The sequence below is a fragment of the Homo sapiens genome, chromosome 1 (genome assembly GCF_000001405.40).
Source record: "Homo sapiens chromosome 1, GRCh38.p14 Primary Assembly".
NCBI classification, from domain to species: domain Eukaryota; kingdom Metazoa; phylum Chordata; class Mammalia; order Primates; family Hominidae; genus Homo; species Homo sapiens.
This window is the reverse complement of record NC_000001.11, coordinates 99,641,426-99,663,673: the sequence shown is the minus strand read 5'-3', so window position 1 is coordinate 99,663,673 and position 22,248 is coordinate 99,641,426. Positions and strand designations below refer to the sequence as shown.

Here is a 22,248-nt window from a genome sequence, read left to right as displayed (position 1 = left end):
AGCTATCATTTTACTCAGAGGCAGGAAGTAGTTCATTGGGAGATCCAGATTGTGTGTATTGTGTGTGTGATTGTGTGTGTGTAAATTGTGCAAGTGTGTGTGTGTGAGAGAGAGAGAGAGGAAAGGAGAGCAAATGACCTCTGGTTTTGGAGTGAGAAATGGCCTATCTAAAAAACTTTCTAGATTTGACTGTTGACTTCATTTGAATTGCACTGGAACAACTTGGAACTTTTTTTTTTTAAATTTCATTGATTTCCTAGGAGTACACACTACATTTCTTGACTATGTATACTACTCATGTAAATTCAATGTGACATATTGGAAGGGGAGCAGACTAACTGTGCTTTGAAATTATCCATCAAACATCGGAAATGTCAACTTGTTTAGAAGCAAAGAAGCAAACAGAATCCAGAGAATGAGGCTAATTGGAATCTTAAATTATGTTTTTTTTCAGAGGCAGGTACTTGTTCCATTAGAAAAATGAAGTCAGTTGCATTCAGCAAGTTTAACTTAAATTTGTAGACCCCTTGAGTGTGCAGCTTTGTATCATTAAGGGGATTCATTAAATCTATTGATAGCAGCCCTGTCAGATAAGTAGTTTCCTGCTTGGGCCTTTTCACAAGGAGCTGCTGTTTGTTATTTGCTTGCATCCTGTCACTAAGCTAAGTAATAAAATGTTGAAACTCAATGTGCTTTAATTACAAAATGGCCACACCCAGTGAAAGATGTAAAATCTGATTTTAAACATGGAAAGTTATTTCTGGTTATGATCTCATGTTCTGTCAAAACAAAATAAAACAAAAACCCGAAGCATACTCAAACAACATTGGACTCATTGCACTGAACTTTTAAATACAAGCATCCTTGACCAGGCCAGACACTGTTCTGCACCCCCGGGGGAATGACTGGCCTTTCATTGATTTCAAAAGGCACTTCCTAGCTGGATCCACTCCCTAGGGATGTTAAGCAAGACTGCGAGCAGGGCCAAATTCTCAAGGCTGAATTCTCAAGGTTGCTCAAGAAAATTGGGAAACTCAGTTATAAAGGATAAAAGTAATAAAACCATGTGTTCAACTTTGCACATGTTTGCTAGAAGGTATTAATCTCATATGCAAATGTTACTAGCTTGTTGGCCTCCCCTATGGTTATTACAATGTTAGTCAAACTATCTTGAAATTTTTTTCTTTCCTAAAGCTTTTTTACTATTGAAATTTGAGTACCAATAGAATTTTTGAATACAAAATCATTGAAATGAAATTAAAGCCATAAATTACCTTCAAATGCTGGTGCTTTAGTTTGTCTTCCTCTATTTTCAGACGCTTCTGTGAGATTTCTTCCTGTATTTTTCTTTTATCCTGAAATAAAAAAGTTCCAGTATATTTTATTTTTAAAATTTGCTTAATTATGTTTCCTTGGGGTTGTTGTCACTATCTGAATGGCCCGTTACTGATATTTTTTTGGCATTGGTGTGAAGCTGCTTTGGAAACTCCTATTTCAAAGCAAAGGAGAGCGAAGTGAGACATTTGAAGCATTTTCCTTATGGGAAAGAATATGAAAAGGCACTTTTTCAAAGAGGGCTTAAACATCCTTCTTCACTCCCCTTTTCCTTCTTCCCCATTAGTCTAGCAAGATTGACCTACTGAGTGATGTAATAGAAAAAGTGAATTGTAAAGAGACAAGTTGTGAAATAGGTGTGAGGAAACATCGTGAGAAGAGAGACTGATCCTGGTCCAAGGTTGAAGAAGCCTCTGGGTGAAAGGACTCCTTATGTGGAAAAACAGGTCAACCTATGGATCGTTAGAAAACTAGGAAGTTGGAAATTGGGACTGTTTCCTCCTTGCATAGCCTGCTATGGGAAGATAGAGGAAAATAGTTTAGATAGTGCTTCTTAACACTAAGAAGGCTTTTAGCTCAGGTAAAACAAAACTCATGAAGATATGTTGTATCTTTCACCAAGTTTAAATTACATTACCTCGGACAACCCAGAAAGCATAACTACTGATACAAAAAGGTTGTACTTTTAAGAAAATATAGCAAATATACTAAGTAGACAGCCTGGGTTTGACTTTTGCCTCCTCCACTTACTAGCTCTGTGTCTTGGGACAAAATCCTTAACTTCTCTGTGCCTCAATGACCTCATCTGTAAAACGAGGATACTGAGAGCACCTACTTCATAAGATGTGAGCACTAAATAACTGATATATGTAAAAGTTTCTAGAACAGTACTCGTCACAGTGCTCTAGAGGTATTTAATAACATTAAATAAATAAATATATAACTTGTTAATCACATAGAAAGCAACACATTAAATCTGACAGTGCTTTCATTAGCTTGAAATGTTTTAGAGATTCCCTGGAATTGTTTGAGACATTTGACTAGTTATGCAAAAAGGTCTTTATTTCCTCATTTTTGATCAGAGGTGACATTCTTCTCCATCTTATTCATAAGTGTTGGTTTTAAATCTGCTTTCAAAATTAAAAACTCCCAAAGGATAAAATTTTGTTGCCAATGAAGACATCCAAAAGAAGTAAGCTGTAAAGGTAATTTAGAAGAAGGAGATCCAAAAATGTTTGGCAGCATTATTGATGTAAGTGCATTATTGATATATAAGTGCATGGGTTCCCTGATGTGACTATTTTGAAGATAAAAACTCTTTTTTGATGTGTAATTTCAGGTACATTTGTTGAAGAAAAGCAACATATTGCTCTCCAACTGTATGCTGTGTTTCTCTTTGCATGTAAGGAGAATATATGACTTCATCAGCTTATTATTTTTATTATTGAGATAAGGTCTTATTCTGTTGTTTGTTGCCCAGGCTGGAGTGCAGTGGCACAATCATGGCTCACTGTAGCCTTGACATCCTGGGCTCAAACAATCCTCCTGCCTTAGCTTCCTGAGTAACTGGGACTACAGGCGCATACTACCATGCCTGGATAATTTTTTGGTGTTTTGTTGAGACAGGGTCTCACTATGTGACTCAGGCTATATCAGCTTACTTTTAAAATTTCGTAAGTATTTCTTTTGAAAAAAAAAATAGCTAGGCAACAGGCATGGATCTTGAGAATCACTTCTTTCTTTGGATGAAATCTGGCCATTAGTAACAAAAACTCTGAAAGCCTCTGTGAGTCAATTCTTCACTCTCTCTAGAGGTTGTTATTTGAGCAAATATTAATTGTACTTTAAATTCATTGTGCCAAACATTTTGGCAATATTTTTCAGGCACAATTTTACTTAATACTTGTCATAACAAAGAGATACTATGCTAATTTCCATTTGAAAAAAGGAAATGGAAATTTAGGGGAAATTAACTCATCCAAGTTTCATCTGACAATTGTCGGAGCCAGGATTTGAACCCAGGCAGTCTGAAGTCAGCCTCCACACTCCTAGCCAATTCACTGTGCCATTCCCTGGAGTGGAAAGTTAATCAAGCTGGTCACAGTTTCTTCCTTTTTCTTCTCCCTCATGAAGTACTGTGGCCAGGAGGCAGCACTAGGACAACAAGCACTGAGTGTGACCTCTCATTAGCAGGGAGCACATTTTTAGCTCCCTAGATGCTGGTGCTGCAGCTAGCTCTCCGTGAAAAGCCCATAGAGAAGAGCATGTTTTGTGGGGTGGACAGGATTGCTGAACCCAGCAATGCCTCCCCACCCCTGCTCATTGCCAGTTTGGGCTGGTTTGCCATTTGGGCTAGTTTCATCTTGGGGTTAGTAATCAGGCAATTGAATCTGTGAGTAGAGGCATGCCATCCGAAGTGTTTTGGCAACACCAGGCTTATACAAGGGTTGCTAGGGAATACTAATGTTTTGTCACTCAGGGGTAATATGATGCCTCTCTTATATCAGTCTAGGTAGGTAGGAAGGAAATTTCATAATGTTTATAGGCATGATCCTATTTTAAGATAGGCATACTTTTTCCTCATAAGATATTCATCAGCAGAGTTATTGTTCCTTTGCCAAATTTCATTGAACTCTGTTAGCATTAATGAAAAATAATATGACAATAACTTAGTTTCAGTATAGCAGAATAAACTATAAGTCAACCTTAAGATGTTTATCTAGCTCGATTGCTAGTATACCAAAAGTTATCATAGTCAGCTAATTTCTTCCCAGTTTTTCATTGGAGCAAATAAATGTGAAATGCCACCTGCTTCCCTAAATTTCCCCAGAACCTGGAGCACTTCTATAGATAGCTGTTGCAACCTGGCACATCAGACATTACTGGTTATTAATGTAACCATTATGAATAACATATTGTTGCTTATTTCTCAATGTCCAACTACCTTGACTTTTTGTTCAATGGACATTTACCTAGATTTTTAGCCATCTGACAGCCTATTTTAGCAACTGACGCCCAGAAATTTCAACCTGTTAAAGGTTATCTCTTAATTATTTTGAAAATTAATTTATTCGCCTTGTACAACTATAGTTATTGTGACCATCTATTAATATGATCCAATGATATTAACACAATCACATATTTGATAAAAGTCAGCACAATGCTTAAGAGTATAAGTAAGTATTTTAGTTATATTATTGATTAACAATGTGCTAAATTCTAATATGCCTAGTCCTGTCAGGAAGGCAGAATTGATCCTGAGTTGTTTGATTATTGATTTATTCAATACTTAGCTACTTATGTGCAAATGCTATATTCAAGATGATATTAGGAGTTGTGCAGTGTTTAAAAATTATTTGACAGATGTGAGTTTACATTCTTTTTTTTTTTTTTGAGACAGCGTCTCACTCTGTCACCGAGGCTGGAGTGCAGTGGCATAATCATAGCTCACTGAAGTTTCAATTTCCCAGGCTCAAATCATCCTCCTGCCTCAGCCTCTCAAGTAGCTGGGACTACAGATGCATGTCACCACACCTGGCTATATTTTTTATTTTTTAATTTTTTTTTTGAGATGGAGTCTTGCTCTGTCACCCAGGCTGGAGTGCAATGGTGGGATCTCAGCTCACTGCAAGCTCCGCCTCCCAGATTCACGCCATTCTCCTGCCTCAGCCTCCCAAGTAGCTGGGACTACAGGCGCCCGCCACCACACGCGGTTAATTTTTTGTATTTTTAGTAGAGACGGGGTTTCACTGTGTTAGTCAGGATGGTCTCGATCTCCTGACCTCGTGATCCGCCTGCCTCAGCCTCCCAAAGTGCTGGGATTACAGGCATGAGCCACCGTGCCCGGCCTATATTTTTTATTTTTATTTTTAAGAGAGACAAGGTCTTTCTGTGTTGCCCAGGCTGGTCTCAAACTCCTGAGCTCAAGCAATCCTCCTACCTTGGCTAAAGAAAGTCATTTGTGTAAGTAACTATAGTCTGAGAAATAAAGTTATTACATGTAATAGTTTTTCTTTTTTCTTTTTTTTTTTTTTTGAGACAGAGTCTTGCACCATCATCTAGGCTGGAGTGTAGTGGCACAATCTTAACTCACTACAACCTCTGCCTCCTGGTCTCAAGTGATTCTTGTGCCTAAGCCTCCCAAGTAGATGAGGTTACAGGCATGCCCCACCATGCCCGGGTAATTTTTGTATTTTTAGTAGAGATGATGGAGTTTTGCCATGTTGGCCAGGCTGATCTTGAAATCCTGGGCTCAAGTGATCCGCTCGCCTTGGCCTCCCAAAGTGCTGGGATTACAGGCTTGAGCCACTGTGCCAGCCAACATGTAATAACAACTTTAGTAGTAATACATGTTATCGCTAAGGCATTAGTAATGTATGATGCAGGTTGAGGGGAGACAGGGAGAGGTTGTTCCTAGCTGATGTCATTAACAGAAGCTTTGGAGTAGCATCTGAGTGGAATATTTTGGGTAGTTACAGTGAGGCTGGGGAGTATGGAGAAAGGGCATTCAAGTCAAGGGCTTGATGTGAACAAATTCTAAAAAATGTGGGACATTACTTAGAACAGCAAGTCTGGAATCTAAGTTACCATATAGGGAGTGGCAGGAAGTTAAGAACAACCAGGTGAGGATAGATTTTCAGTAGCTAATACTGAATGGCATGACAAAGGGTTCAGAATTTATTTACATATTGAGATAAGGAGCAATAAAAAGTTTTCAGGGGAAGAAGAATGATAGAGTTAAAAGCATGTTTTCAGAAGTTGAATATGGCCTCATTGTGTAATAGCTATGGAAAGGAGAGAACACGAAGAGGACACTCAGTTAGGCCACTGCACAACTCATACATAAGGCCATGAGAGCTTGAACAAGAAGGAGCAGAGGGCAGGGATGTCAGAGTTAGCAAGGAGTTAGAATTGTCAGGACTTGGCAACTGATGACATATCATTGAGGAAAAGGAAAGTGTCAGATGGAATGCAGGCTCTTATGTTCAGGAAACTGACGAGAGAGCAGAATGACGCATAGACAGAGGAGTATCAGGAGAAGGAAGAGTTTGGAAAAAAAGATGATGGATTCGCCAAGTTTGAGATGTCCTTGGGCCAAATAGGTAGAATTATCTGCTAGGCAGTTGGAATGTTGGATGGAGAGAGATGAAGAATCAGAGCTAGAGATAAAGATGTGTGAGTTTTGAAAGGGATAGATGAGAGCATGATGAGAGACATTTTTTATGAAAAGAAAAGGAGGCTAAGGAGAGCCTCCATGAAGCACCTACATTTAATGGGTATAGGAGAAGGGGAACCCACATGGAAGTTTATTTTGGATCAGTCTGATATTATTTGTAATAGGACTTGGTGAATTTGGCCACATAACTGAAAGGAGCAATGAATGAACCGTGTTATTTCAAATAAACAGATTGCGGGGAGCACAAAGGGCAACCACTGAGTCATGATATTGCAAGTTGTGAGAGATCTAGTGATCCTACGGTCCAAATGCTTCATTTTACATATTAGAGTTTGAAACCTTAAGAGGTTAAGTGGCTTGCTTAGAAAGGTATTTAGTAGCAGGGCCAAGACTAGTAAGAAGATCTTCTTAATTCTCAGTCCTGGGCTCTTTTTAGTTCTCACTAACTCTACAAAAGAAAAGCATGGTTGTGGGCATTTAGGCAAGGATAAAAGTAAAGAAAAACAGAAGCCATCATATACTTGACTAGAAAGAGGGTATAGGTGTTTTTTCTAAACCAATTGAAACAATTGGAAGGGGCAAGTTAGTGCAATGATTGAAGAATTAAAATAGTTGAATGTTTTCAGATTCATTTTTCTAGAAGCTGATAATCTTATAACTTCATGATTAGCTTTGCTGATATTTTCATTGCTTAGGTCTGAAAAGAACACTAGCGGAAACTGCTTATTTGAATTTAAGTACTACCAACAATGCAGAGTTGGTGGTGTGCAAATAATGGTAACTTTGAAAAAAAAGAGACGTGCTAACAGTGTTCTTAGGAAAGAATCCAGGGCATAATTAGAAGTTTACCAGATTTCAGTAAAAGTATATTTTACCATTCTTGAGAAACATTCTTAAAAAAATTATTGAAAATGGAGCAAAAATTTCAAGAGGGAAGATAGATTATAAGGCATGGGCAATTTACGAATGGAAACATGGACACAAAATTAAAAATGATGTCGGGTAAGAAGAAAAGAGAGCTACTATTTAAAAAAATAAAACCAAATCATTTGCTATCACTGAGAGTTTCCCAATAAGCTCACACAACCAAGAATAAAGATAAGATGGTGACACCTTGTAATAGTGTAAATAAGGTAAAAATTCAGGGTGATGAGATGTGAAACATGAAAACACTGAGGGCACAAAAAGTGCATGCGTGTGTGTGTGTGTGTGCATGTGTGTGTGTGTGCGTGTGTGTTATGCTGAGAACAAAAAGATAAAGGCACAAGATGACTGCTGAGATACATAGCGTAATATCAAAATGACAGAGATAAAATATGATTCCGTTTCTACTTTAATTTCATATTTTTGATTAAGGAGAATAATCTTGATCCTCAAAAGGGTAGAACAAAAATGTCTAAAGCGAAATCAAAGCTGAAGAGGAAATACAGCATTGAAGACAGAGCTGCTCTAGTCTTCAGTCTCTGATGGGTTTCATTTCAGGGGGTAGAAAAATTTATAGACATGACAGAAAAATATTGTTAAGTAACCTCTTTGGAATCTTGGATGAGGTGAAAAGATACCAGAAGACTGAAAGTGGCAAATGACCCAGTTTTTTTGAAGAGGCAAAGAGGTGAATGATGAATATTTAAAGACTGGTGAAATTACGGATTAATCCCTAGCAAAGTTGTAGAGTGAATTGCATCCAGACAAGGAATGTGGTATTTAGACAAGGAATAGGTCTAGGTGGTAGCAGTTGATGACTAAAAACAAAGCGTTTAAAACTCACACTATTTTTTATTGCTTAATTATTTTAAGATCTGCAGATGATGAAGGTTAAGACGGTTTTAATAATAACATTTATTAAGTTTTTTATGTTTTTAATATTATTTATCATCTAAGACTCAATAATTATTCATCCATATTTTCTTTTAAAAAATGACCATAATTCAGCTGAATTTATTTTGATTCATCATAGATGCTGAGTAATTGTTTTTCTAAATTTTTAACTATGTATCTGAAGTTTTATCAAATAATTCTTTCCTATTGACTTAGTATGAAACTTTTATTACTTACTAATTTTTAAAAATGTACATTAGGGTCTGGTTGCAGGTTATCTGTATAGTTTCTCTAACTATTGATTCTGGTACCAATACTGCATAGTTTAGATCATTTACCAATTAGATATATTCAAGTTTTCCTTTATTGCTGTTATAAAAAATGTATTGATTAATAGCCATAGTTTGTTTTTCTAGTTGGACTTTGGAATCATTTTGTTAAATTCCAACAGAAACAAAACTGAAAACCCAGCTAATTCCTTATTTATCCACATTCTCCACCAAATCAGAGAAATCAACCAACCAAGCAACCAACCAACCAAGCAACCAACCAACCAAACAAAAATCTACATGCCTTGATGAAATTTAAAAAGTTACTCTTAATGGTCACTATCCAGAGATAATCAGAGATTGATAATGTTATATAAGATTTATATCTGCATAATTTATTATAGTTCATATAAAATTGGGATTATTTTTACATGTTTAGTAATATAAATTGACCACAATTTATATTGTGGATGAGAATACCTCCTTAGAGATATTGATTGAAACTGTATTAAACTTGAAATAAATTTGGAAGTATATGATAGCTTTTCTGTTTTAAAACTGCACTTTCAGGAATAGTGTGTGTCTCTCATCACATATAGTATGTCACTTGGTAGAGTTTTGTGGCATAAATACTGCACATTTCCTTAGTAGGTATAAAAATGCAAACATTTCTTCATCTAAATCTGGCATACTTCCTTACTAGTATTATTTTTAAATTTTAACATAATAGCTATAAATTTAATATTATAGCTATTAAGGGTAGGATATTTTCACATTATATTTTCTGATTAATTTTTGTTTTTCAGAAAGCTACTGCTTTTTATATATTCATTGTGTATCTGGCTTCTTTACTGAACTTTCAAGTCAATTCTTAACTTTAGAGACACTGAAGATGAAAACTAGAGAGTTCATTAACTTTCTCAAGTCACGTGATTGATCGAGTGGTGGAACTTGTGTTGAACCTGATTTTCTATGATTCCAGGGGTGATGCTTTTTTATCTTTTATTTTTATTATTTTCTTTCTTCCTTATTGCTTTCCAAATATATCAGTAGAAATACAATTCCTCAAATAAGGGACATTATAGCACCAAAGGTCTCTATACTCATCAGAGTTCTGATCAACCCTTAGCACCAACTTCTAACAGTTACACTGACATTTTGGAGATTGTCTGGAATGAGTCTGTGAAGAATGACTGAAATCCAGAAAACAAAACTGTATAGCTTCAGTGGCAGGAGTCATGAAGATTGGGTGGAAGTTAAAGGCAACCAGATTCTGGTACATTATGTCAGAACTCTTAACACAGAGAGCTGTTCTCAAATGGAAAAGGGTTTTTTGGGGGGTGTCGATCCATGTGATATTGAAGTGCTCAAGGAGAAGCTGGGTGAACTTGGGCATGGTGTAAAGAGAGTGAGGACGTGGATAAAGAAGTTTCTACATTTTCTTCTGTTCCAATAATTATGTCTGCATCTAGCTTTGAAATATCCTAATTCTTAAGTTAGTCATGGAAATTTGGCATGGTTATCACTACTATTTATGGGGTGAATTAAAAAGCACAAATTTTCTAAACCTCATTTATCAAATAATTGTAGTCTTCTTTCCCAACCTTACAACACATTCTAACAGACCTCTAAACAGAATCCAGCGTGTGTTTTACTCTTTTTTTCCTTTGTCTACCCTATCTTGTTTGTTCTAACAAATAGTGACAAAACAAAACCAAACCAGGCTAAACAACAAACACAAAACAGACCCCTGAATAATCAAGGGGTGATGGTAAATTTGGCCGGGTCTTCAGTGAAAAAAAATCTGTCAGCAGGCCAGCCAATCAGTAGCTTTCACCCTTTCTCAGCTTGATTGTATTTGTTCATTCATTCATTCACTCACCCAGGACAGTTTTTTTGTTTTGTTGTTTTGTTTTGTTTTGGTGCTCCAGCTAGTGTTGAGCTCGTTGTTGAGGGAACTGTGAAAGATGCAAGGATGTCTTTGTCTTGAGAATTCCTGGCTGCAGGGAAGAGGCTACGTAAAGGAAGTGGGATGGGGAGGAAGGCAGAGGAAAAAGGGGCCTGAACTATTAGGTGCTCTGAAAAATGACTTTGATTCTGTTCCAAACCTCTTAAAAACAATAACAAATACTTCTGAAATGACACCACAGTCTCTTCTTGCCCACTTCTATTCCTTGCAAACTGGGGAAGGTGGGAAGAGACTGCAGAGGTGGAGAACTGTTTTGGGTTAGAAAATGTGGTTAAGCAAAGCAGACCCTCCATAGTTTCTTCTCTTGGCTCCACGTCAAACTGTATTAATAAGAGTGAACAATAGAAATCTGAGGAAGTTTTCTTTCTTTTCTTTTCTTTTCTTTTCTTTTCTTTTCTTTTCTTTTCTTTTCCTTTCCTTTCCTTTCCTTTCCTTTCCTTTCCTTTCTTTTCTTTCTTTTTTCTTTCCTTTCCTTTTCTCTTTTCTGTCTTTTCTTTTCTTTTCTGACGGAGTCTCACTCTGTTACCCAGGCTGGAGTGCAGTGACGCAATCACAGCTCACTGCAACCTCTGCCTCCCAGGTTCAAGCAATTCTCGTTCCTCAGCTTCCCAAGTAGCTGGGATTACAGGCGCAGACCACCATGCCCAGCTAATTTTTGTATTTTTAGTAGAGACAGGGTTTCACCATGTTGGCCAGGCTGGTTTTGAACTCCTGGCCTTAAGTGATCCGCCTGCCTCAACCTCCCAAAGTGCTGGGATTATAGACATGAGCTACCATGCCCAGCCAGAAATCTACGGAAGTCCTGAACAGGGGTCAGGGGTGTGATGTTGATGTTTATAAAAATTTGTCATGATGCTGTGGTCAGAAAATCTGATGAGCAGAGGAATAGATTCAAGTTCCGACATTTGACTAATTCCTTAGCTTTTCTTGGCCTAGGCTTTCTGCCATAAAATGGGAATGATAACATATGCTTTTGAAAATACTCATAGGACTACTTGGACAAATGAGATAAAATGGATGTGAAAGTTTTATTTTTCATAGCCTAAATGCTATGTAAGAATAGGCACTGTTATTATTGTTAGAAATCTCACAATTCTTTTTCTTAGGAGATGTCCATTTTATTCCAGAGTTGTTAGCGTAATTGATTAGGAATAGCTGTTGTAGCCCACTTTGCTATGTTACATCATCCTGTGTCAATCACTGATACATTTAATAGATTGAAAACTTGATGCTTAGGACAGAAGCTAGTTTTGAGTTCCATTCAGAACTCCTGAGGATAACCTAGCTCTACCTCTTAAGTGGCTTGACTGAATCCTCTCAGTCCCTGGGATTTTATGTAAAAACTTTAAGTATAGATCTCATTCAAACTGCTTTGATGATGTTTTAGGAAAATGTGCATGCCACAGGGTTCTGGGTAAGGGAACTTCTTAAGGTGGTAAATTTTCATGGAGTCTCTTCCCAAAATGACATTACTATCATTTAAATAAATTAAAATATTCTTATTTCTTTTTAAGAGAGGGTAGGTAGTTAGAGACTGCAGATTAAAAAGTGGAAGTCCTATTGCAGTTTTAGAATTGAACTGTGTTGCATTTGTTTATACTCTGGTTAGTCTTAGATGCTTATTCTCTAATTTGTTTTAATCACAGTTTTCTAAAGAAGCAGCTTTTCCTTTCAACCATCCAGTAATGTTCAGAAAGTTCATGGGGATCTTTGTCAGTAGAGGAGTTAGCAAAGTAGCATTATCATTTTGTTGCACAGTGGAAAAACCTTCCCCAGTTATCAAAAAGCAGTTTCCTTAATGAGCTATCAAAACTATTATACCTCATCACATGGTGTCCTTTATGGGTGGGCTGTTATGTTTGGCAAAGAAGTGTGGCGTACCACATTTGTTTGAAGAAACCTTTCCCTCTCTGGAAGAAACATGTAATCTTGGTACAGCACTGTGGAAAATTGTGCTGAGGTTTCATTGTTGAATATTCCAGAATGGGACTTTTTTATTTAGAAGACTGCTACATCTTCATGTACCATCTTCATGTGAATTTCTTTGGAAGCTCCTGACAAATTAGAAGTTGTTCCTCTAACTATGTCTTAATCATGAGGTATGTTGGTTAACAATGGGGCATTATGCATTCTTTGGCCACTAGTACTTTAAGAATTCCTTAGAGCTCTAAATAATACAATGATCCAAACACGTGTTAGGGTATGCCTTTGTTAAAGACACAGACTAGTTTACACTTGTTTTTACTCTCTTATTTGTTCAGATAGAACGAATAAGGAAAAATATGTATGGCCAGTCTGGAATACAGAAGCAGGGCTGACTTCTTGGGTTTGTGACCTGTGAAGTCACCCAGGTCATCATGCTCAGAAGGGCCTAGCACTTAGATCAAAGCTCTGTTGTCACCACCTTGACATTTTGAATATTTTTTGAACAAGGGCCACCACAATTCCCTTGTGTTTTGGGCCCCACAAATCACACAGCAGGTCTTGCTTTTGGGTCACTAACTGTCTTACTGACTGTTAGAAGAGCCCAGATATTGACAAAAAGGGAACAAGATGAGGTAGAGTGCCCAGAGACACTTGTAACAGGGAACATGTGCTAAAGAAATAACTAGAACCCATCCGTGCTCATGTTCTTGTTTTAATGTTGGTCTTTGTACTGTGGAGATTTCTGTTTTATGTAAAGAACTCCATGTCTCTTAAATTCCTATATTTACAAGTCAAGAAAAATTTATTTGGGTATTTGGGAGTGGAAAGCAGTAGGGAGTTGATCAGGGGAAATGTGAGAGCTTTTTTTTTTTTTTTTTTTTTTTTTTTTTTTTTTCATTATGAGCAGCTTTGGCCGGCAAAATCTGGCTCTGTTGCTCAAATTCCAGTGTCAGGACTTTATATGGCTCCTTTCCAAATGGAGGCAGTCCTAGGCAGGTGCTTGTACTTGTGATTATTTTTATTGTCTAACTTTTGACAGAACTCACCTCCTTCACATCTAGGCTCAAACGTCACCCTCTTTGTGAACCCCATCCTGACCACTCTATTTTAACTTACAATGCACTCCCATCCCCACTCCTCACATTCCAGACTCCCCTTATTTCACTTCTTTTCATTTAAATGCACAAGGCTTGGTGCATAGTAGGTGCCTAATAACCATTAATTGAATAAAGGCATGAGAGACTGTGTTGATAACACACATTCCTTACAGTTAAAGGTAAGCCTGGAGGAGAATAAAAATGTCAGCTTTCTTCTTACTCTCTTTTTCTCAGTTGAGTCTGTTCTCTGAAATTGGATTCTAGTTCTTAAACTTCCTCTGAGTTCATCCTTCAAATAGAACTGAGTCTATGATCGCAAGACAGTTTAAGATCTAATTTTCCAGTTTGAGCATATCCATATTTGTAATGGTATTTTCCAATGTCGCTGTAGGCATGGGGGTAAGAAAATGTATTAGCTGTGGAGGAGATGTTAAGAGTATACGGAATGTTACTCATCCTAAGGGAATCTTTGTGTTTCTGAGGAGAGACCCCTGGGCCTTTTCGTTGTTCTTCAGTGTGGGCCACGTTCACTTTCAGACAGTAACTCTGTAGGGATAACTCTGTCAGTGGTACGTTCAGTCCTTCATCTCACGCTTCTTCATCTCACTCTTCTCGAGAATGCTGGAGTCATTGGTATCCTCAGTTCCAGTATTGTTAAAGGTGAATTTCAAATTACTAGTCTATTTCAAAATACTATTGAATTCCAATTAGCTCACCTTTTGTAGAAAGATCAGCTATTTGTTCAAGTGTGTACTGACTTGAAAAGGGCCTCAAGAGACATTTTAAAGATCAAACATAATAGTTAATTAATTTTAAGCAGCCCTGTGTTTAAATTATAGTTGAAAACTGAACTTCTAGGCAAAGGGGTACTTTGACCATTAATTTAGTAAGGGAAGAGTTGGTGCATGGATAAAGTATTAAGGAAGAACATGAAAGTAATTGTGTAAAATAGAATCTATATTTGGTATACCCAAACTGAAGTATCTACCCTTGAACAATTGTTTCTGCATACTTTCATAATTTTGCTCTTATTCTCTTTAAATCTTTGAGAAGACATCTGACTAATCTAAAATTCAATTTACTGATCTGATATGAGAAATGAATGGCATCACGATAGTAATTTAGTTTTCAATTTGAGAGCCTAAGTGTCACATTTCAACTACTTAATGTGTTTAACCTTTTTTTTTTTTTTTTTGAGAAAAAGAAAAAGACTGGCACTTGGATCTTTGTTCTGTCAAATTCTAGGTATATACGTTTATTTTTTCAGTTCTTTGCAGTGAAAAATAATGACTTTTTAGGCACTTGAAACCAGGTAGAATAAATACAACTGTGAAGATTATTTTATTTTATAGCCAGCAATTGGAGAAACGAATTTTAATGTAAAAAGCAAATAGATCCTAGAGTGTAAAAGTTTTTTTTTTTTCCTCCAAAGTGAGGTCTATGTGTTGCTATGTCTGGGTGCATTGGGGAATTGCCTTCTGATTTCATTCTTGAAGTATACAAAAAATTATTTCAGTGTAGGTAAGTACTAGGAAAAAGCTAAAATGAGAAGATACTCTCTGAGTTTTAGTCTAGGTTGGAGATTCTGAGGCTTAAGCATTTCCAAAAATGAAATAATTCTTGCAAACTCTCTGCATACTCTGTGATTTTATTTTCCTAGGGGGAAAGAGACTAGCTGAGGTGGCTTCCTGGGCAAGGCAAGGGCGAGGGCGAGGAAAGCTGGCGTGTCCCAGGGCGTCCAAGAGGGAGGAGAGTGGATGTGTTGTTTCCATGGACACACCACTGCTCCACTTTTCCTCTAGGTGGTGACAAATGTGACTGGATTTAGCCTGGTGAGGTGTAGGCTGGTTTATGAGAAATTTGTTCCCATAAACTTTTTCCAGTTTTTTCCCTACAACCTTTATACAAGTATATTACTTCCAAGCTAGAATTACTTTGTGATCTTACTTGGGAGATTTGTTTAATCCTTTCTAATGGGATATATTTAGGCTGATGGAATAATCCAAAAATTTTTTTAATCATCAAAAAAGCATACATCTGCATATTCAGGAAGCTACTTACTCTCTTGATGGCTTTTAAGACATTATGAGGATTTTCTGTCTCTATTTGCGTTTGGAACCTTCAGTGACTAAGATTCCTAGCCTTAGAAATAACTGTATACAGCCATATCTTTGGAACATGTGTGGCTTTGGTAAGAGTTATAAGGTACACTGGAGGGAAAAAGGGCTTGAGCGAGGGTGTCCCCCAACTGAAAGAGGCAAATTCAGAACAAGGGTCTACTTGTCTATTTCAATTAGCTAATTAGGAGATATAAGCATTAGAAATAGTGGAGCCTGTGACCACACAACTCACGCAGTCTAATAAAGTAACCTTTAGACAACAGCTGTAATGTAAAAGGCCCATGCCAAAAACAACAGAGCAGAGCCGAGTTCCTGTCCCTTAAAGCAGGACAGCTGAGATGGTGGCTGAGTTTAATGACAAAAAAGGACAAAACAAAACAAACAATAATCCCGACCAAGGTTTTCTGAAGAGAGGAAAATGTAATAATTAGAAGCTAGACATTTAACAAAGCATTGTTTTATGGAAAAGTGCCAACCTTATCAATAGACTTCTGGTGTCTTACTATTGGCTAAGAAGACATTTCAATTTACTGAATGTTTCCTGGGTGAAACTAAGATATTGTATCAATTAGTAAAAAATCTAAATTAGGATTAGCATAATTAGTTATGCAATGAAAATTTTAAGAACAACAACAAAAAATCCCTGATCTAGCATCAGTTTTTAAAAAGTACTCATTTTTTTCCTATACCTAATGTCAGTGGCAGAAAATGCTGAGAAATTGGGATATTGCTTTCCAAAGATCTTTTTCTTCTTAAAACAATTACATCAAAAGTTATAGCTAGGGATAAATGATTGTGACACAGATTTCCAAGTTACTGCCAAATACAGGGTTTTATAAAATTAAAAAGAAAGCTGGATCATTTAAGAAAAGTAATTTATTTCTGGCTTTGACTTTTTCCCGGAACAAACATAAAAAATGTACGATTTTCCTTCTCGGTATTAACAAAATATTTTCCAAATCCACTGCATGCACTGCATTCCTTTATCAGGATCTTATTCAGTTTGTGACTCTGCTGGAAACTGATATCTTAGAATTAATCTGATACGTGCTTTTACCTAGTTTTCTCTTGTTTAATGCTTAAATTACGTATATTAACATTCATTTTAATTATTTTAGGCTTTCTGGAACATGCTACCACACTACAAATATAAAGTTTCAGGTCATTTTTAAAATTTCTTTTTCTCTCTTTAAAAAAAATTCTAACTTTTTGAGGCATTCATAGCTTAAAAAAGTTTCCAAGTTGGGGATCTGTTTTTTTATCTAATGCCAGTCAAATGGACATTTAAGGAAAAACTGCATTTCTAAGGTACACCACAGAGTGTGAAAGATAGTTAATCAGACTGCCTTAACAGCTTTTGATTGTTGTTTAAAATGCAGGCACAGCCTTTTTGAAAATCAAGAACGTTTGCCCTGCACTCAGGTTCTGAAGCCCCAGAGTTACAGAGGGTCATGAGGGTTAAGAGAGAAACAGAGACTCGTCCATGAAGGCTGACAGTTCTGTTTTTCCACTTGCGAGGGCTCAGCGACAGGGGCAGCCGGCCACGGTCTGCCTTCCTCTAAGTAACAACGTTAATGAGTTATAACTGTATGCAGACTTACTGTGATGGCCTGGAGTCTTCCCTTCACCAGCTCAGCTTCTTCCATTCTAGAAGTCAAGGACAGTCAGACGGGGAAGCAAGTCCAAAGCTACCATAAATCAAGGAGCCTCCTGGGGGAGAGGAGCGGGGGTGACAGAAGAGAAGCAGGGAGAAATCCGCTCTTTGCACCAGTGGAGAAATAGAGAAATTCCCGACTTGTCAGGAGCGTCTCCGAGCAGATGCACAGATCAGGCCAGACAGACACATGTAATGAGGGTGTGCTGGGGAGGCAGACGCTGAGGCTGCTGGCATGAGTTGACTGACAAGTTTGAACGGCAGCGGCACAAGCCCTTTTCCTTCAGGAGCTGCCAGCTCTTTGTTGTAATGTGCACAGTTAGCAAGGCACATTTTCTTATTAACTGTTCCTTACCCAATTCATTATTTTCCAGGAGTGGCACAGAGAGCCAACACACTGAGTGTTTAATCAGCCTCTGCTCTAGCAACACACAGCCATCCCCGGATGTGTTGGTCTGTGTGTGTTTGTACAAAGCTCGTTTACCTGCTTGCTAGCTCTAGGGGAGAGAGCCTTACCTTGACTGAGGCAGAAGTGCCAAGTCACTTGTTTGCCTTTCTTCCACTGATTGGATTTGATAATAATACAACAATCTATAGCTACTTTAAACTTCATGTAGTGGTAAATTTACATTGGTTCGTTCTCCCCCGTCTACACCCCACCCCCGACCCCCCTGCTCAGCACTTTGTTGCAAACTTTGGAATCTTTAGGTCATGGAGAAATCAAAGGTGTTAATGTGACTATATTAAGAAGTTGGCCCACCAAGGTATTTAGTGTGGCTTAAGCACCAAGTGCCACCTTTTGTTATTGCTTGACTTGGATTTCTATGGAATGCAGTTTTCTTTCTTGGACGCTGTTCAGAAATGACACTCTTGGCTTTCAGGAAGGTGCCCATTTTGACCTCACCGGTTACGCAAGAGAGAGGAGTGAGCCTTTGAAAATGTGATGAGACATTTGGTAACTGCCTGGAGCCCGGCACTGTGTGAATATTCGCCCATCCTTTAGAAAAAGGCAGGCAAGCCCAGTGAGACTCTTAGGTCAAAGCAGAGGCTGGGAAGCTGTACAATTGGCTCTGTCTGTTTTCTTTTCCCTACAGGTTCTTTAATTAAATTTTGCTGAAGTAAATCCTAATTACCAACTACCTTATTATTATGTGTTTGAATGCTATTAAGCGCTTTCATATCAACATTCAGCTGAAGAGGTTAAAAGGACAACCCAAACATTGAACATATGGTTTAATTTCCTTTGCAGTTTTGATATTAGTAATAATAATAGCTAATATTTGTTGCATTCTTTCTACAGGTAAATGCATACTTGCAAAGTGCTGAGAGATAAGTGCTATAATCCCTACTTTAAAAATGAGGGAACAGGCTCAGAGAGGTAATTTGCCATATAGCTAGTAAGTAGCAAAGCCAGGATTGGAACACCAGCTGCCTGACTTTATAAGTGGCATTCATCAAGGACTGCCCAAGGACACGGGGCAAGGAGAGGCACAGGCTGAAGGTTAAGTCAGTCTTTATGAGAAGTGGTTGGACCCCCAGCCTCCTTCTCTGTCTAGCTCCTAGAACACTACAGCTGGGTGTAACAGCCTAAGGCAGAACGGTGTGGGAATGTCCTCTGGAGAAACTTATTGGCCCTACTGAGGTTTCCCCACATTGTTGACTGGAGTTCCCCAACCACAGAGCCCTCATTCTGTCAGTCACTATAAGGTGAAACCCATGTTTTAAGAGTCTGAAATTATACTTGAGAGTAGTTTGTCCTTGCTCATACACCCTCAGAAGGGATACTTAGGGAGACCAGAGAATGGGAGGATTGTTTGGATGTGTGCCAAGTTTGATTACTGTTGGAAACATATTTAAGTGTAAAAAAAATCAAACCTTCAAGACTTCTGATTATGTTTATTTGTAGATCCTGGCTGAAATTAAAGACAAGAAAGCAGTAATGATAAATATCTCAGTCAGAATTGCATATTTGGTGCCTAGAACAAATGGGCAGTCATCCAATTATTAGTCTGGATCTTTTCCTAAAAACAATTTACCTCTCAAATCTCATTTCTGCTAGAGGAAAACCCAAGATTTTGCTAGTGTAGGGGAGGACAAGATTTAAAAAAAGAGGATGGGAATTTAGGAGGGAGCAGAGTTGCAACAACTGATTGGTATCATCATGTGAGTGGTAGGCAGAAAAGGCTGGAGCTGGGAAAATCTGGGGGACCTGAGTGGAATCCTGGAGCCAGAGCTCTGATGGTCTTGACAATCTCCCTTGGACTGCAATACAGATTAGGATGTTTCCACTCAACTTCGCCTCCCTTTCTCTTTCACCTGCCTCTTAGACATGTCCAGCTCCAGCCTTTTCTGCCTGTCCTCCCATGTTCTCTCATACAGTCATTTCTCCTAATAAAATTCTGTACATTTAACCCATCTTGGCATTTGTTTCTTATAGGATCCAGAATAACATCATCATTTCCACATCTACTGTATTTTGTTTACTTAATCTTTTATTGTCTACCAGAATGTAAGTTCCAGGAGAGGAGAAATTTTGTTCAGACACCTAACACAGTGCCTGACACATCAGAGGTTCTCAATAAATATGTGCAGAATGAATAACAAATGCTTAAAAAATTAACAAGTATTAGTATTGTCAACTAAATGAATGAATAAACACATGATGAGACACATCAGTTGTCAGCAACCAAAGTAGTCCAGTGTTTCTCAGGAATTTTAGCATTCTTGCCATGCTCAGTCACTGGCTGGGAGTAGCCCCTGGGAAGCATAGCCTTGAAGCAAACATAGGAATGGATTTCAGAGTGAAACAGCTTGGGACTCTTGGGTCAATTATGCTCCTGGAGTTCAATGTCTGAGAGGCACTTTCTCATCAGCCATAGTGATAAATGCTATGGAAAGAAAATAGAGCAGGGAGGAGAATAAAGATGGCTAAGGCAGGGAATGTTGCAATTTAGAATTGGGTCACTAAGGTAGCCTCAGTGAGAAGGCAATATTTGAGCAAGGTCTTGAAGAAGAGGTGAGAGTTCGTGATGAGGATATTTATGGGAAAAGCATATCAGGAAGGGCCTGTGCAAATGTCCTGTGGTGGGCCATACCTGCCATGTTTTATGAACAAGGCTAGTGTGGTTAGAGAGCTGGGACTAAGAGAGGGTTAACAGGAAATTTGGTTGGAAATGTAACAGGTCCCAATTCATGCAGGGTCCAGTAGGCCATTGTAAGGACTTTAGCTTTTAGTCTGTGTGGGATGAGAAGGCATTGAGGTGTTTTAAGCAGAGGAGTGTTTTGCAAGTGTGAAACAGGAAGACTAGATAGGATGTTATTACAGTAATCCAGATGAGAGATGATGGTGGCTTGTGTCAAGGTGGTAACAATGAGAGTGTTACCACCTTGGTTGTACCATGGTTGTACCATGGATAACTTTTGATTCTGTTGGTGGATTGGATATAGGGGTTTAAGAGAAAGAGAGGATTCATAATCACTCTTTGCCTGAGTGAATAGAAGTCGCCATCAATTGAGATAGTGAGGTTGATGAACTAGGTTTTTTTTTTTTTTTTCTTTTGAGGGAGAGGATGGATACCAAGTTTTGGAAAAGTCAATTGGTTCTCCACATGGAGATGTTGAGTAGGCAATTGGATATACGAATTTGGAGTTCAGGAAAGAAGTCTCAGGTGGATTTATAAAATTTATTGTAACTACGGAAGGATCACAAAACATCCAGAATTATAGTTCAAAAAGCAGTATATGTTAGCGAACTAGCTTCCATTAAATATTAACCTTATATTAATGACCAAATTCAGCCTTTGTAAAATAGATATATAATAGAGCACTATCTGCTGTCATTTATCTTATTGAACTACTTTTACCAAGTATTTTTGTTGTTTTCCAGCCAGTGTAAACGAGGATGGCAAGAGTTAAAAGTTACAGTCAATTAGTTGACATTATATTAGGAGGTAGGGATATAAGCGATTATGAGACAGTGCTCCTTCTTACAATGAATTTACTGTCTGGCTGGAGAGATAAGACGCGTGCTCAAAACAATTAGAAGACAAAAGAATAGTAAACCAACCGTTGTTGTATTCCGATGAAACAAAGTGCTAACTATTGCACAATTTGAGCCCAGAAAAGTATATCATAGTGAATGATAGTAGTGTGTGGGATTAGCAGTGAGTGCAACATGAATTGAAAATTGAGGTTAATGTGAGTTGCAGGAAAGCGACTGCAGGGAGAAAGTAGACTTTAGAAGCAGAGAAGCCATTTCTAAGCATGAGAGGGGGTGAAACAATGTGTTAGAGGTCCATAAGGGAGAGTGTCCTGTCTGGAGCAGAAAGGAGAAATTAGAGAGATTGATAGAGATATACATTTATACATAGAACTTGATGTTCAGGGAAAGTGGGAGAGAAAAGATCAGATTCATATTTTAGGGAAATAAAACTGCCAACTGTCTCAGAACATATAGAAGGAGGGAAAATTCAGGTAAAGAGATCCATCAGGAAGGGTGACTATGAAAGAGTCTGTAGAAAGAGCCTGTAGAAGGAAACTAAAAAATTGCTGATGTTCCACAAAAGGAAAGGTCCCCAGTGTTCTTCCTCACCTTCAGAAGGTCTGAACTCAGAGACCACAAACTGGATGAACATGAAGGACAAAGTAAGTAGAGGAGAAGTGTTTAAGGTGCTAATACAAATGTGTTAGAATCCAAGGGGGATGGCAATGGGAATGACCAATAAGGAAGAAATCTACAAGAAATTTCAATAAGAGTGTTCAACTGGAGAGAAGGATGAGAATTTGATAGGTTCCAAATGAAGTACAAAATAGGAGCTTGAATTGGAAATTTCAGATAGAAAATCACAAAGAAATGAAATCTAATGAAATAGTGGCAGGAGAAAA

General features: G+C 37.9%; 1 protein-coding gene across 1 annotated transcript in view; it reads right to left on the bottom strand.

The window, feature by feature from the left end:
* PALMD (palmdelphin) overlaps nucleotides 1-17,561 on the bottom strand; it is a 48,423-nt gene extending 30,862 nt beyond the window's left edge. The window contains exons 1-2 of the mRNA NM_017734.5: nucleotides 17,312-17,561; nucleotides 1,275-1,355 (exon numbers count right to left, since the gene is read on the bottom strand). Coding sequence (NP_060204.1) covers nucleotides 1,275-1,355; nucleotides 17,312-17,356 — 126 coding nt within the window. The 5' untranslated portion in view covers nucleotides 17,357-17,561. The remainder of the gene's footprint in view (nucleotides 1-1,274; nucleotides 1,356-17,311) is intronic.
* Nucleotides 17,562-22,248: the final 4,687 nt, after the last annotated feature.